This window comes from Homo sapiens, chromosome 8, assembly GCF_000001405.40.
Source record: "Homo sapiens chromosome 8, GRCh38.p14 Primary Assembly".
In the NCBI taxonomy this organism is placed as follows: domain Eukaryota; kingdom Metazoa; phylum Chordata; class Mammalia; order Primates; family Hominidae; genus Homo; species Homo sapiens.
The window spans coordinates 12,714,593-12,729,370 of NC_000008.11; the positions used below are offsets into that span (position 1 = coordinate 12,714,593).

Consider the following 14,778-nt stretch of genomic DNA (forward strand, 5'->3'; position numbering starts at 1 on the left):
TCTATAATATCCATTTTAATATCAATATTACTTATCGCTATTAATAATATCAATTATTAATTGATACTAATAATTATCAATATTAATAACTGATAATATAATTTTAAAAATCATACCAATAATAATGATAATTAATATTAAATAGTTATACAAATGATAATAAATGATTCATATTAATGATTAATAACGCCTGATATTAATAACTGATATTGATCTTATTCATTAGAAAACAGTAATATTAGCTCCTAATAATTAATATTAATATTAATAACCTGAACACTTTATTAGCAATTATTTATTAATATTAATATTGGTAATTCATATTCATGTGAATAATAAATGAGGAAAGATGAATACGAATCTTACACCTAATATCTCAGTGGGTGTACACCCACCTGTGATATTGTTCCTAATGTCCAGGGAGGGAGAGAGCATGATATTCCGTTCAATATCGCACTAGGTGTACACCCACCCGGTGATATTGATCCGAATATAATCTCCAGGGGGTGGAGTATGACGTTACTTCCAATATAGCACTGGGTGTGCATCCACCCGGTGATTTTGCTCCTAATATTCACGGAAGAAGAGAATGCTATTACTCCCAGTATGGCAGGAAGTGTACACCCCTTCTGTGACATTGTTCCTAATATCCGGAGGGGGAGAGGGTGATATTACTCGCAATATCGCAGGCTGTGTACACCCACCCTCTAATGTTGTTCCTAGTAGCCCGGAAGCGAGAGGACGATATGACTCCCCACACAGCAGGAGGTGTACACCCATCCGGGGATATTATTCCTAATATCCATGGAGAGGAGAGGCTGATATTACTCCCAATATCGCAGGGGGTGTACATCCAGTCTTGATACTGTTCTTAATATTCAAAGGCGGAGAAGTTGATATTACTCCCAATATCACAGAAAGTGTACAAACCCGTGTGATATTGTTTCTACTATCCAGAAGAAGAGAAGATGATATCACCCCCCCCCCCCCATCACAGGAGGTGTACACCCACTCTGTGATATTTTTTCCAATGTGCAGGGCAGGGGAGGATAATATTCTTCTTAATAGCACTGGGTGTGTACAGCCCCACTGTGATATGGTCCTTAATATTCCAAGGCGGAGAGGATGATCTTACTCCCAATACTGCAGAAAGTGTACACCACCCCAGTGATATGGTTCCCATGATCCAGGAGAGAAGAGGATGATATTACTTTCAATATCGCACGGGGTGGACACACCCCCAGTGATATTGTTCCTAATTTCATCGTGGGAGAGGATGATACTACACGGAATGCCCCTAGGGGTAAAAACACTCCTGTGATATTGTTCTTAATATCAAGGGGAAAGAGAATGCTATTACTCCAAAGAGTGCAGAGGATGTGCACCCGTCGGTGACATAGTTGGTAATTTCCAGAGGCGGAGAAGATATTACTGACAATAACGTGAACACGCTGTGTGACCACCGAGGATCCTCATATTCACGGGGGGAGAGGGGGTTGATAGGACTCCCCCCTTTTTCCTGGGATCTTTTGTCTACTGCCCCCCTTGGTTCACACCCTGGAACATTGTTTTCCATATTCTAGCAAGATGCCACTACTAAAGTCACAGGGGATATACACCCTGCGATATTATTCGTCATATTGTAGGGGAATGTTAATCCTGTTGTAACAGGACTCTACACACTGTGATGTTATTCCCAATATCCTATCGGGTCATTAATAATAATGTCACAATGTGTGTACACCTTTTGATGTTATTCTTGTTCTCCTAAGCGGAGGTTACTTTTATTGTCACACGGGATATATTCCCTTTGATAGTATTCACAACATCCTAGAGGGATGTCACTGCTTATGTCACAGGGTTTGTACACCTTGTCAAATTACTCGTATTATCCTTATAAGGTGTCACTCCTCATATCAGAGAGGTGAGATTCTAGGGAATTCTAGGGGATTCTAGAGGTCGTATTCTAGGGAAATGTTACTTTTCATGTCACGGAGGGTGTACACCTTGTGAAACTTTTCGTTATAATTTTGTGGGATGTTACCCCTGATGTCACACGGTGTGTACACAGAGTGATGTTACGTGCGATATTCTATAGAAATGTTACTCGTAATTCACAGGTCCTGTACACTCTTTCACAGTCCTCGTAATAGTCTAGGAAAACATGACTGCTAATGTCACAGGGCAAGTAGACCCTGTCAGAAAATTCATAATATCCTAGCGGGAGTTCACTTCTAATTTCACAATGCGTGTACACCCTTTGGTATTATTCGTGTTTCCTGAAGAGATGTTACTACTGATGTCCCAATGCAGGTACGTTCTCTGATATTATTCGCTATATCCTTGGGGGATGTTACTTCTAATGTCACATGGGGTGTACTCCCTGTGTTCTATTTCGTAATATCCTGGGGCAATTTTACTTTTAATGACACAGGGGATGTACACATTGTGATATTATTCGTGATATTCTAGAAATACGTTATTCCTAATGTCACAGGGGTGTACACCCTTTGATAGTATTCATAATTTCCCAGGGGTCTATACTCCTATTGGCACAGAGGATAACACCCTGTGACATTCTTCATCATGTTCTAGCGAGATGATTCCCCTAATGTCACAGGGGGTGTACCCCCTGTGATATTATTCTTACTATTCTAGGGGGATGTTACTCTTAATGTCACAGGTGTGCTCCTTCTGTGATATTATTGAAAATATGCTAGCAGGATATTATGACTAATGTCACAATGCCTGTACACCTTGTGATATTATTAGTAATATTCAGGGGGGATGTTACTCCTAACGTTACAGGGGTGTACACCGTGTGATATTGTTCCAAGTATTGTAGGGGGATGTTACTCCTAGTGTCACAGGGGGTGTACACCCTTCGATGTTATTTGTAGTCTTATAGAGAGATATTACTTTAAATATCACAGTGGGTGTACACACATGGGGTACACCCACTGGCATATTATTTGTAATATCTTCGAGAGATATCACTCCTAATATCACAGTGGGTGTACCCCATGTGTGTACACCCTGTGATATTATTTGTAATATCCATGGTAAACATTACTTCTAGTAATCCACAGAGGGTACACCCTGTGATAGTTTTCATAATATCATAGGGAGATATTGCTGCTAATAACACAGTGGGTGTACACCATGTGTGTACACTCTGTGACATGAGATAGCTTATATCCTAGGGAGACAGTCCTTCTAATATCAAAGTGAGTTGACACCCTGTGATATCATTCGTAATCTCCTAGAAAGATGTTGCTGCTAATATCACAGAGGGTGTGCCCCCAGTGACATTATTCTTAATATCCCAGGGAGATGTTACTCCTAATGTCACAGGTGGTGTTCACACTGTGATAATATTCGTAATATCCTAAATGGATGTTACTGCTGATGTCACCACACGTGTACATCCTCTGTATTTGTTCGTTATATCCTCGGGCGAGGTTACTCCTACTGTCACATGAGGTGTACTCCCTGTGATATTATTCCTAATATCCTAGGTGGATGTTACTCCTTGTGCCACAGGGGCTGTGCGTTTAGTGATATTATTCACAATATCCTAGAAAGACGTTACTCCTCAGGTCACAGGGGATGCACACCCTGGGATATTATTCGTACTACCCTAGGGGACATTACTCCAAATGTCACAGAAGGTGTACACTCTGTGATATTTCTCATAATGTGTCAGGGAAATGCACTCCTAACGTCACAGGGCATGTGCACCATGTGTGCACAGCCCTTATGATGTTATTTGTAATGATCTCAAGGGATGTTAATCCTAATATTCCATATGCTATTAACCATGTGTGAACACCTTTGTGATATTCTTCCTAACATACTAGAAGGATGTAACTCCTAACATCATATGGGGTATATGCCATATGAGTACACATTCTGTGATATTACTCATAACATCGTAGGGAGATGCTACTCCTAATTTCACAAGGTGCGTACATGATGTGTGTACTCCCCCTCTGATGTTATTCGTAATATTCTAGGGGAATGTTGCTGCTAATGTCACAGGGAGGGTACACCATGTGTATGCAACGCTGGTAATATTATTTCTAACAGCTTGAGGAGATGTTCCTCCTAATGTCACCTGGAGTGTACACAATGTGTGTACACCTTCTGTGATATTATTCGGAAATCACAGAAAAAGATTATGCCTAATGCAACAGGATGTGTACACCGTGTGCGTCAACTGCCTTTGATATTATTCGTAATATACCAGGGGGTGTGACTTTTCATGTCACAAAGGGTGTACAAAATGTCACAGGGTGGGTATGGCTTATGATATCATTCCCAATATCCAGAAGGATGTTACTCCTGCGGTCACAGGGGGTGTACACCCTTCGATAATATTTGTAGTCTTATAGGGAGATATTACTGTAAATCTCACAGTGGGTGTACACTATGTACACTGTGTTTACACTCACTGTGATATTATTTGTAATATCTCAGAGATATTACAGAGTTATAACTCTCTCTGTTATATTAGAGAGTTATATCTCTCTAAGACAGTACAAATAATACCACAGTGGGTGTACCTCATGTGTGTACACCCTGTGATATTATTTGTAATATCCATGGTAAACATGACATCTAATAGCACAGAGTGTGTACTCCCTTTGGTATTTCTCATACTTTCATAGGGAGATATTGCTTCTAATATCACAGTAGGTGTACACCATGCACGTACATTCTGTGATATGATACCTTCTATCCTAGGGAGATATCTCTCCGAATATCACAGTGTGTGTACACCTTGTGATATTATCCATAATGTCCTAGAAGGATGTCACTCCTAATATGACAGAGGGCGTACACCCAGTGGTATTCTTCGTAATATCCTAGGGAGATGTTACTCCTAATGTCACACGGGGTGTACACCCATGATATTCTTCGTAATATTCTAGGGGGATGTTACTTAAAAAGTCACAGGGGGTATACACCCTGTGATGTTGTTTGTAACATCCTAAGATGTTACCCTTAATGTCACATGGGGTGTACACCCTGTGATATTACTCGGAATATCTTATGGGGATGCTACTCCTAATGTCACAGGCTGTGTACACCCTGTGATATTATTCGGAATATCCACAGAGACGTTACTTTTGATGCCACGACTGGGTCCACGCTTTGATATTTTTTGTCATATCTTAGGGAGGTATTACTTCGAATATCAGAGTGGTTGTACACCCACTGTGATGTTATTCGCAATACCCTAGGGAGATATAACTTTTAATATCACCGTAGGTTTACACACTACTACACAGTGGATCCAATAGGGGAGGGAACAGGTGGGAGCCCCACCCCCTACTGAGTTGGCAGGGCAGGAGCCCCACACTCATGGATGCAGTTGCAGCCACCCAGCTATGGCTCCAGACCTGGGCATGCCTGCACTCCTGGAAGCCCCCCCTGGCCCCACAGGCTCAGAAGTGCCTGCTCCTGCTTCTCCCCTCTCCTGACACCTGCTCCAATTCTGGAGCAAAGTTGAGGCTGAACCCGGGTGCTATCTCAACCTGGCTGGATGTGTGCGTGCTAGGGGTGGTGCTGACACACCAGTCCCACCACCTTGACCCCCTTTGAATTTTGGGCACCAACAAGCAGGGGCGGGAGGCCAAGGGGGCCCTGAGGGCGGTTTGGCACAAGCCTGCCGGTGCCTCTTGGTAGGAACAGCCTGGTTGCTGTGGATGGCATGTTGATGGTGGCAGGATGGAAAAGGGTGGGTCCTGGTGAAACCTCACCTTCAAGCCAGGGATGGCCTGAAGCCTGGGGCCTGAGCTGCCAGTTCCAGCTGGAGTCCACTGCCTGGAGTGAGTACATATGGAGCTTTTTCCCCAGCCCACCCATGGCCGCCCATGGACCGATCAGCACACACTTCCCCTCCTGAGCCCATAAAAACCCTAGAGTCAGTAAGACTCAAACAGACCCTCAGGACTACCAGCTGCAGGAAGGAGCTACCCATTGTGAGTCTCCTTGACTCTTCTGGATGACCTGCTTGTGGAAAACAGCTACCCACTTCAGGTCTCTTCTCTGCTGAGAACTGGACACTCTATGGGATGACCTGCCTGTGGAAAAGAGCTACCCACTGAGGGTCTTCTCTCCACTGAAAGCTGGACACTCAAATCAGGAAGACCTGCCTGCAGAAAGGAGCTACCCACTTTGGGTCTCCTGAGAGCTGTTCTATCACTCAGTGAAGCTCCTCTCTGCCTTGCTCACCTTCCAGTTGTCTGTCCACCTCATTCTTCCTGGATGCAGGGAAAGAACTCAGGACTTGCTAAATGGTGAAACTGAAAGAACTATAACACAAACAGGGCTGAAACACATACCCCCCTTGCACCCCAACTCACCACATTGTGGGTGACAAGAAGAGCTACAGCTATTTGGGGAGTCCAGACCTAAAGGGTGCCTAAGCCAGGGCTGTGACACCCTCTTTGGAGCTCTGTGGTTCCTGGCATCTCCAAGCTTCTGGGTGCCACAGTGTTCCCCTTGTCCAGATGTGGGTGCCTGCAGTGGAAGCCACGTGGTGCATCTGGTCCAGCTGCAACCTCGCATGAAGGTGCCCACCCCAACACAGCAGCTGGTGTGCCTGGCTGTGTGCAGTGTCTGGACCCTGCATGCACTTGCCCACACACCCCTCGCTGCTCCGTGCCTGGTTCGCTCTTGGCAGGTGGGGGATCTGGGCTGGTAGCAAAAGCCAAGCACGGCCTGCCAGGCTGAGTGGCCAGAACAAGCCCAGTGGGCATGAGCATTACTCAGGCAGAAGGCACCACCGGCCACAGACATTTCTGGCTGGCAAAGTGCCACCCCAAGGATCCTGTGACAGGAAAATCACTTGAGCCCAGGAGTTTGAGGCTGCAGCAAGTTATGATTGTGCTACTGCATTCCAGCCTTGGCCATAGAGCAAGATCCTGTCTCTAAAAAAAAAAAGATGATTGACTGACATTTGCAAAATCCTAGCTGAGGAACTGGGGGCAGAAACAGTCCAGTCTGTGTAACCAAGAGAAGTCTCAAATGGTGAGGCATCAAAGAAAGAATTTTAGCCTTACCCTAAAGGGACATGGATTTTTAAAAGGTTGAAAAATAGTGCTTTAGGGATGGTTCCGAGGCCTAAACCCTCAATAAATTGCTTTTTTTTTCTCAAAAAATAAAAATGGCCAAAGTTTTTGGAAACCATAGCATATATCTAATGCCACCAAACCATAAGCAAAACTCATCTGTTCTTTAACATATGCAGTTTGGTTCTTCTACTGACTTGTTTTTATAACACTGACCTACAATTTAAGAAAAAGTATTAGGAATTTAGCTTTTATTCAAAATTAAATAAGCAAAAGCAAAAATTTTAAGAAACTTTTACAAATTACTTACATAAAAGAAAGTTAATAAGGACAGTCACAAATTTGCAACAAATAATTACAAAAGTTTCTAGGGCAGCATGAATATAAACCATGTTGCAGCATGGTGATCTAACTGTGATATGAATAAGGCATAACTAACATTTGCACCGAGACCAGAATTAAAAACAAAAACAAACTTTAAAAGCTTAGTTCTATATTAAACTTCTTCTCTTTTCCCAGATCCTTAATGGGTTTATACTATGCATTTTTTTTTAAAACAAACACATCATGTCAAACTATAAATTACACAAATGGGCAGTTAATGTGAAAAGCCCCCTAAAATGTACAAACTAACTGGTACTGAATTGAGTTCTCCCTTTACCTTTATGTACAATTAAATGTAAACCATATTTTCACAGTTTTGAGTGTTTTATGAATAGATGCACAGTACCATGTCAGGTTTACAATTGTTCCTGAAAACTGGCTCTAGGTTCTGCATCCAATGCCTGTCGGCCACTGTGATGCAAGTATTTACATAAATAAGAAACTGTGTCATAGTCAATGGTCAAGACAGTTCAGCAAGAGCAGTGTTTCCAACAAAGAATGATCCTCAACACGATATTTTACATACTTGTGCAAATATAAGCATTAGGACAGATATATCTGAGGCAAATTCAATTTGCAAAAACTTGTATCGCTACTCTTGTAAACTTGGGCAATAAATGACCCTCGGCAAGTTCTGCTCTCTATGGCTTTTTTGTTTGTTTGTTTTAAAATTTTAAAGCCAGAGAAAATACACACACACTACCCAACCCCCACAAGCACACACGCACGCACACACACACACACACTCTCTCACAGACATAAAGAGTTCTTATTTCATTTTAGAGTATGGTACATAGTGCAACTTCACAATGTAGAGGTTCGACACACATTCAATGCGTGTTTTTCTGTGCAAGTTCTTAGTGGTCTAAATCCTAGTTGAAGGTATTCATTTGCAGAACCACATGATTCAGGAGGTCGAAGGAAAAAGAAAAGTTTCATTAAATTTCTGAAACCAGCACTAGATGTGCAAAGGCAGCAGACAATCTGGCCATCAATGCAGCCAGATTAGGGTCACTTTAAAGGGAGATCCAAAGAGTTAGTTACTTAGATTGGTCTCTAGAAAAATAGGTCAGTATATGCTGTATCTTGGTCAACCGTTCTTTCAAAGACTTCATTGACAAAACCGACAGCTGGTATCGTGGGTCTACAGGGAGAACTGCAAGAAGCCACCAACACCATGCAGGTCCATTAGGGGCTGCCTAAAAACAATGGACAGTTTATAGCATTAATAAAACAAGGATTTATGTAACAACAGTAGCAAACCACCAAAAAATTACTATTTATTGAGCACTTGTACTATGTGCCAGGTGCTATCTCCAATGTCCTTAACAATTATGCAAAGTATAAAATGGGAGAAACTGAAGCTCAGCAATGTAATGCAAATTGTCCAAGATCTCTTGGCTCTTATGTGGCAGAGCCGAGATTCAAATCTAGACCTGACTCCCCACAGTCAACACACGCTCTTTCCTCCTATTACACTAGCAAGGCTTCTCGACCTCAGGCTACTGACACTTTGAGCCAGATAATTCTTTGTTGCATGTGGCTGTCCTATGCACTAGAGCACATTCAGCAGCACCTCTGATCTCTATCCACCAGATGCCAGTAGCACCTTCCCATCCAGCTGTGACAGCCAAAAATGTCTCCAGGTAATGCCAAATATCCTGTGGGGGCAACATGCCCCTAGTTGACAGCCACTTTCTTGAGCTATAGATTTAAAGCATTAAGAAATGTTAATTGAGATTTAAAATTTCCTCAAAGTATTATGGAACCCTTGGAAAGACAGAAGAAAAAGGCCCCAGCTTCCAATGTTGTTCAAAAAAGAAACATATCTCCAGTGAAAAGGTCCTGGTAATGCTGTGAGGGCTGACTATTGGCTATTGAAACAACTAGAAATTTCCATAAAAGGACTTGTAAGCCACCTTCACTGAACCTTAAATTGCTATTTATCGGACTTAAAATATAAAGCTTCAGAATGACAAAAGGAGCTACGACATCAGTGCTGATCTCAGTAGGCCCCTCTAGAATCAGATTCGGTTTCTATATTTGTGTATTGTCCGCTGTCAACTAAGCATTGCTACCTCTTCATCTGCATTCCACAGACATTACAAACTGTCTTCTAAAATCCCCTCTGCCATAGGGTTCCAGGTTAGAGTTGGCCGATGAAAGGCACTCTTGTTGGGTGTGGAAGCTGGAAGAGAAGCCATTATCCTCTGAAGATTGTTGCAAAGTGTGGGCAGGAACTTTCCAGAGAGCTCCTGGAAACCCCTTTCTCCACTGCTGTAGACTGAGACAGTGGTGCAGACTTGCTGGGATTCCTAAGAATTATAGCCACTTCCCCACTAGTTCTTCAGAAGCACGCTGTTGGCTGTTTCTGATGCAGGATCTCTGGTGGCAGATTCCCTGACTTCTGTAGGTGACATCCCTGACCTTCACTCCCACAGCTCTCCCAACTACTATACAAAGTCTACATCCTACGTCAAACCCTTCATTCTGGGAAAATGACGGGTGGTTGCTTTTGCTTTCCTGCCCAAATCCTAACTCACACAACACTGCTAACAGAAAGCAGTGATACAGGACAGGATAATAAAAGGCAAGGGTGGTGAAGGTGATGGAAAAGTTATGCTGAATTTTTCTATAAGCTGTTTTGTTATTTAAAATTTCTTATTCAATATTGTTCTTATCAAAGCCCATTTCTGTGATGTTTAATCAGATTCAAGTAATCAGTTAAAACAAATAGATGGCAACTGATAATATGCTAAACAGAATGAATACTAAATTTGGAGATGGCCTAATGTTGGTGTTTCAAGTTCAGGTGAAGGATTCAATTGGGATTCAGACAAATGTAGACCAACCCTTGAAAACGGGAATGAGGCAGTGTGCATTACAATGAGATCTATTATCTCTCCATCTTCACATATTTACTGACAGCCATTCCTTTGTAAAATCTATCACCTTCTGATCAAAAACATTTAGTTCAATTCAAAATGCTACGATGCCTAAAACGTAGTGCTTTAGTAAGTCTATGATCAGATTTTCCAGGAGCCAGACCCTTCTTTTATGCCTCCTGCAGTTTTGCTTGCACAGAAAGTGCCAGATACACATTCATTAGACTAAGCTTAAGTGTAAACCCTAAGTACCTGCAAGACTAAAAGAATAATAGTTTCATGAGAAGCGAGGTATTAAACATGAAGAGACAAAAATGAATTGAAGTGGTTGGGTCAAATGTTGGGAGATACAAAGAAAGGTGAGAAAAGATGTTTCAAATGTATAGAAAATGGTAAGTCTCTCTGCTGTCAAAGAATAACAGCAACAGGCGATGGGCTCAAAGGCATGGTTAGTTGTCCCACAGTCACAGTTTCTAGATAGTAACATCCCGTTTTTAATTCCTTACCCACTCCTAAAAATCCTCTTAAGGACTTGCTCCCTTTCTGGCACTCTCTCCTACAGGCATCTCAGCTGACACGTATTTCCAGCCTCTATCTGTACGGAATGTAGTGGAGACCACTGCTCTAGAGAACTCATGATTGCAAAGATGAGGTGGGGCTGGTGCGGGGGAGGGGACAGTCAAAGAAAAAGTAGTGCAGAAAGGACAATGAGAAAACAAATGTAGAAGTGTGCAAATTTGGGTTTATAAAAAAGTGACTTTTGGAAGAACAGAAAAGCCACCATACCTGAAGGTTTTCCTCCCTCTCGGGCATTGATCCGAAATGCTGAAGAATTTGGCTTCGAAATCTGTCTCTTAAATTCTGAAACCAGCTGCAGGCTTGAGAGTAAACCAAATCATGAAGCTCTCTGAGATTCTTAATCTCATCTTCATTCTCAACCTAGAAATACAATAGTCAGTAAGACTTCTGTGTCTAATCCCCCGTCCATATGCCATATGCCAACCGACACAAATGGAAAAAGGGATCAGAAGAACAGGGCAATACCTGTTTCAGTGCTGACGTCCCAGAGAGTATTATTCCTATGCTTTAATACACATTTCTGTCTCATATAGGGCTGACCAGACTAAAGAAAGACAACAAGGCCTGACCTATGCCTAACCTTGCTGACTTAGCAGTGCAATATTGCAGAACCCTACAACAGCCCTCAAGTGGGAAGAGTAAGATTGAGAGTGAGTTCTGGTTCAGAGGTCTAATTTGGAATTCCATTTGTCTTTATGGATCAATGGTTTTTGAAAGCAGTGGAACAAAAAAGTGGATGATAGTTGCTACAAAAAAAGAAAAGATAAGTAGTTAGGGTGTAGATGACATGACAGAAAGTAGTAACAGGAGGAGTCCAGGCACAGTTACATCTTTTACTAGGGAACTGGGTCAAAACACAAAAACAAACAAAAAGCTACAACAAATAAGTTAGCATATAAAGCCAGTATGTCAGAGAGTCAATTACACAATGATGAGCTTCTGCTGGCAAGGCCCAAGGCTATGGCTACCTCTGGAACCCCTCAGTGTATTCTTTAGACTACTGGGTCACCAAACTGCAAATGTAAAATTAATTGCATCAGGCTTCCAGCCTGAGATAGAAGAGTAGTCTCAGAGAACACAGGTGGGAAGATCTAAGTTTAACTCATCCATCTTATACTGATTTCTTTAATGCACACTTACATCCCACTTGCTACTTGCCAGGTCGTGCTCTGTCTCATATGCACAAACTCATCTGAAAAAATACCAGGCCTGACTCAGCCTTTCATACTTCAAGGATGACTCATTTAAAAACAACAAAGGGACTCTGAAAACATTTCGAAATATAAAAATAAGACTACAGCACACCAGAGACAAAAAAGCAAACTTTTTACTTTTGAAAGATTTGAAATGAAAACTAAAGTTTAAAGAGCATCTGTTTTTTGCATAACAATGTGAATGTACTTAATGCCACTGTGTGCACTCAAAGATGGTTAAAATGGTAAATTCTATGTATATTTTACCACAATAAAAATAAACTTTTAAAAAAGGTAGAGGAGCCACACAATTGAAGAATTTTGGTCCTGAAATGACTATACATGATTCAGGCCCCTGCTAACATACATTGATAGGAGCAAGAAACAAACTTATGCCTTGTTAAATCTTTTTTTTTTTTTTTTTTAAAGCATCTGCTCTGCACCCTCACAAAATTCAAGAAAACAAATGACAGGCTCTGGTAAACAAGGAATGATAACAATTATAAGCGTCAGTGATGAAAAACGGAGCTGGCCAAAAAGCAGGCAGAGACGCTTTTAAAGTCTCTGCCTGCTTTTTGGCCAGCTCCATTTTAAAAGCAAGCTTTTAAAGTCAAGGAACTTTACTGTGATAATTTTAACAGAACTTAAAATTTCATTAGAAGTCACAGAAAACAGAATTATTATAAGAAGAGGAAAATTTGCCATATAAAACAAATTTGAGAAGGTTTTCCAGAATGGACAAGAAAATCATTATATAGATGAAGACATGATGAGAAAAGATTACTAGACATTCCGAGGACCAAAGAGGACTCGTTTATAAATATCATATCTGTAATACTTTTAGAATGTGATTCTATTGCCTACATGTTTGTAAGTATTAATACATATAGTCATGTAATTTAGCCATATACTCAAGTGATTTTGTCATCAAATCCAATAAGTGAAGACATAAATTTACACAAAACTGAAATATGGTTATTAACTTTACAAAGAAGAACCTTTAGCAAGTGATTCCATTAACCAAGTATGCCTAAGGCACAGATTCTATCAATCAACTCAAAATTTCAACTCACACAATACTTTCGGCCAACTGCACAAGACAAAGTACCCCCATAGCATTTTTATAATAAGATAGGACTGCCAACGTCAGACTAATCAGGTTTATCAACAGAGAGCCAAATGGCATAGTGATAAAGCTCAAAGTCTGAGTCAGACAGTTTGCTTTAATCATTTTTGTTACATTATCTATAGGCTCTCAGGCAAATTAATTAACACCTCTGAATTGTACTTTCCTCATCTACTATTTCATAGAGTTGTGAAAATTCTATGAGTTAATGTTTGTGAAAATACCTAATGCCAATATCCAATAAATGCTGACGAAATGAAGGGCCTAAACAGATCAATGAATAAGAGAAGGGATAAGATCTATGTTTTTATAATGCCTTTCCAAAAGAAATTGCCTTCAATTTGGTATTTGTAGCATCATAAGTCACTTTTCCGGTTCCTAAACTAACTGCAGTAGGTAAACTGGGTATTGCAAACATCAAAAGGGCCACATTAACCCTATTCTAGAAAGACATCACAAAAACCCTACCCTGTTAAGATATCACCAACATGTACACTGGCAGTGCTTTCTATGTCTGCCCCAGGGTCTTCACACAGCATTCAACTCTATTTTATCATTAAGGTTATCTTAGGCACAAGAACAATCTTAATATATAAAACAATTCTTATAAGATTTGATGTGTTTACATTTACATCAAATTTCAATCTACTAATTCCATCGGCTTCAACTACTAATACATTCAATAAAACAGGGCAGAAATGTAAACCTTTCAAAACTTAGATGGGTTGGAAGTTCAACTTATTCAACCACTATTGTTAAGTACCTATCACGTGTATACACACATGCACATGTGTACATATACACATACATTCTAGGCACTGGGCTGGTTGTTAAGCCTGCAGAAATAAAGAGAATCTATGTTCTAGTCTTCCAAGTTCTCTTAGAATGTGCAACAGTTTCAGAGCAAGATACGAAAAAGGTAACTTGGAGCACATTCTCATCACAGTGGTAAGGCTGTCTGATAAGAACTGGTTCATGCACCTAGAAAATAGCCTGCATGCCTGTACCAATCCCTGGAACAGGATATACGAAAGTATGCTGGCAAAGCACATTTTAAAATACCTTAACATCTTCCAGATATTCAATGTCGGCAGTGCAATATCCATCTTTCATTCCTCTTTTTAAAACCCTAAACCGCTTTCCTCCAACTGTATCAACCACAGACCTTCCGTCCGGTAAGAAATGCACGTTTCTAATTTGTAACATACAACCATAATCTGCAAAACTAAAAGAAAACCTTGATTAGTAACAAAGTTGAAACATAAACATGCAAGTTCTCATCCATATTGAGAGGTCTAACATAAATACAAATATTTAGGTTCACAAAAAGCATACCTATTTTGTGTATCACTGACACACATGCCAAACTGTTTGGTTCCAGTCTGTATACTTCTTCGAATCATCAATCTGTATCTTGGCTCAAATACATGGAGAGGGCAAGGCACAGTGGGGTAGGCCATAGTGCAAACAAATATTGGAACATTCTTGGTCAAGCTAAGGGAAAAACAGTTTAATTATTAGAATTCATACAA

At 40.8% G+C, this 14,778-nt stretch overlaps 1 protein-coding gene and 3 non-coding genes across 9 annotated transcripts in view, besides 1 other annotated feature; 2 read left to right on the forward strand and 2 right to left on the reverse strand.

Annotated features, from left to right (window-relative positions):
* Window positions 1-4,539: 4,539 nt before the first annotated feature.
* On the forward strand, window positions 4,540-4,598 carry MIR5692A2 (microRNA 5692a-2). Its single transcript, NR_049876.1, has one exon. It is a non-coding gene; the product is annotated as a microRNA 5692a-2 (primary transcript).
* Window positions 4,599-7,313: 2,715 nt separating this feature from the next.
* The window catches only part of LONRF1 (LON peptidase N-terminal domain and ring finger 1), a 33,621-nt gene continuing 26,156 nt past the window's right edge, over window positions 7,314-14,778 (reverse strand). For all 6 annotated transcript variants that reach the window (NR_138256.2, NR_138255.2, NM_001329976.2 and 3 more), the window contains 4 exons: window positions 14,582-14,740; window positions 14,309-14,471; window positions 11,135-11,287; window positions 7,314-8,662 (listed from right to left, as the gene is read on the reverse strand). Coding sequence is in view for 4 of the 6 variants with exons in the window: in NM_001329976.2 (NP_001316905.1) it covers window positions 8,504-8,662; window positions 11,135-11,287; window positions 14,309-14,471; window positions 14,582-14,740 (634 nt within the window). In the remaining 2 variants the exon portion in view is untranslated. The remainder of the gene's footprint in view (window positions 8,663-11,134; window positions 11,288-14,308; window positions 14,472-14,581; window positions 14,741-14,778) is intronic.
* Window positions 12,210-12,259: an enhancer, noted in NCBI's record as "active region_27042". NCBI's record gives its function as "activates an Ori minimal core promoter by ATAC-STARR-seq in GM12878 lymphoblastoid cells {active_cell/tissue: GM12878}" and the evidence as "EXISTENCE:reporter gene assay evidence [ECO:0000049][PMID:35858748]".
* On the reverse strand, window positions 12,640-12,712 carry MIR3926-1 (microRNA 3926-1). Its single transcript, NR_037492.1, has one exon. It is a non-coding gene; the product is annotated as a microRNA 3926-1 (primary transcript).
* On the forward strand, window positions 12,645-12,707 carry MIR3926-2 (microRNA 3926-2). The gene has a single exon (NR_037495.1). It is a non-coding gene; the product is annotated as a microRNA 3926-2 (primary transcript).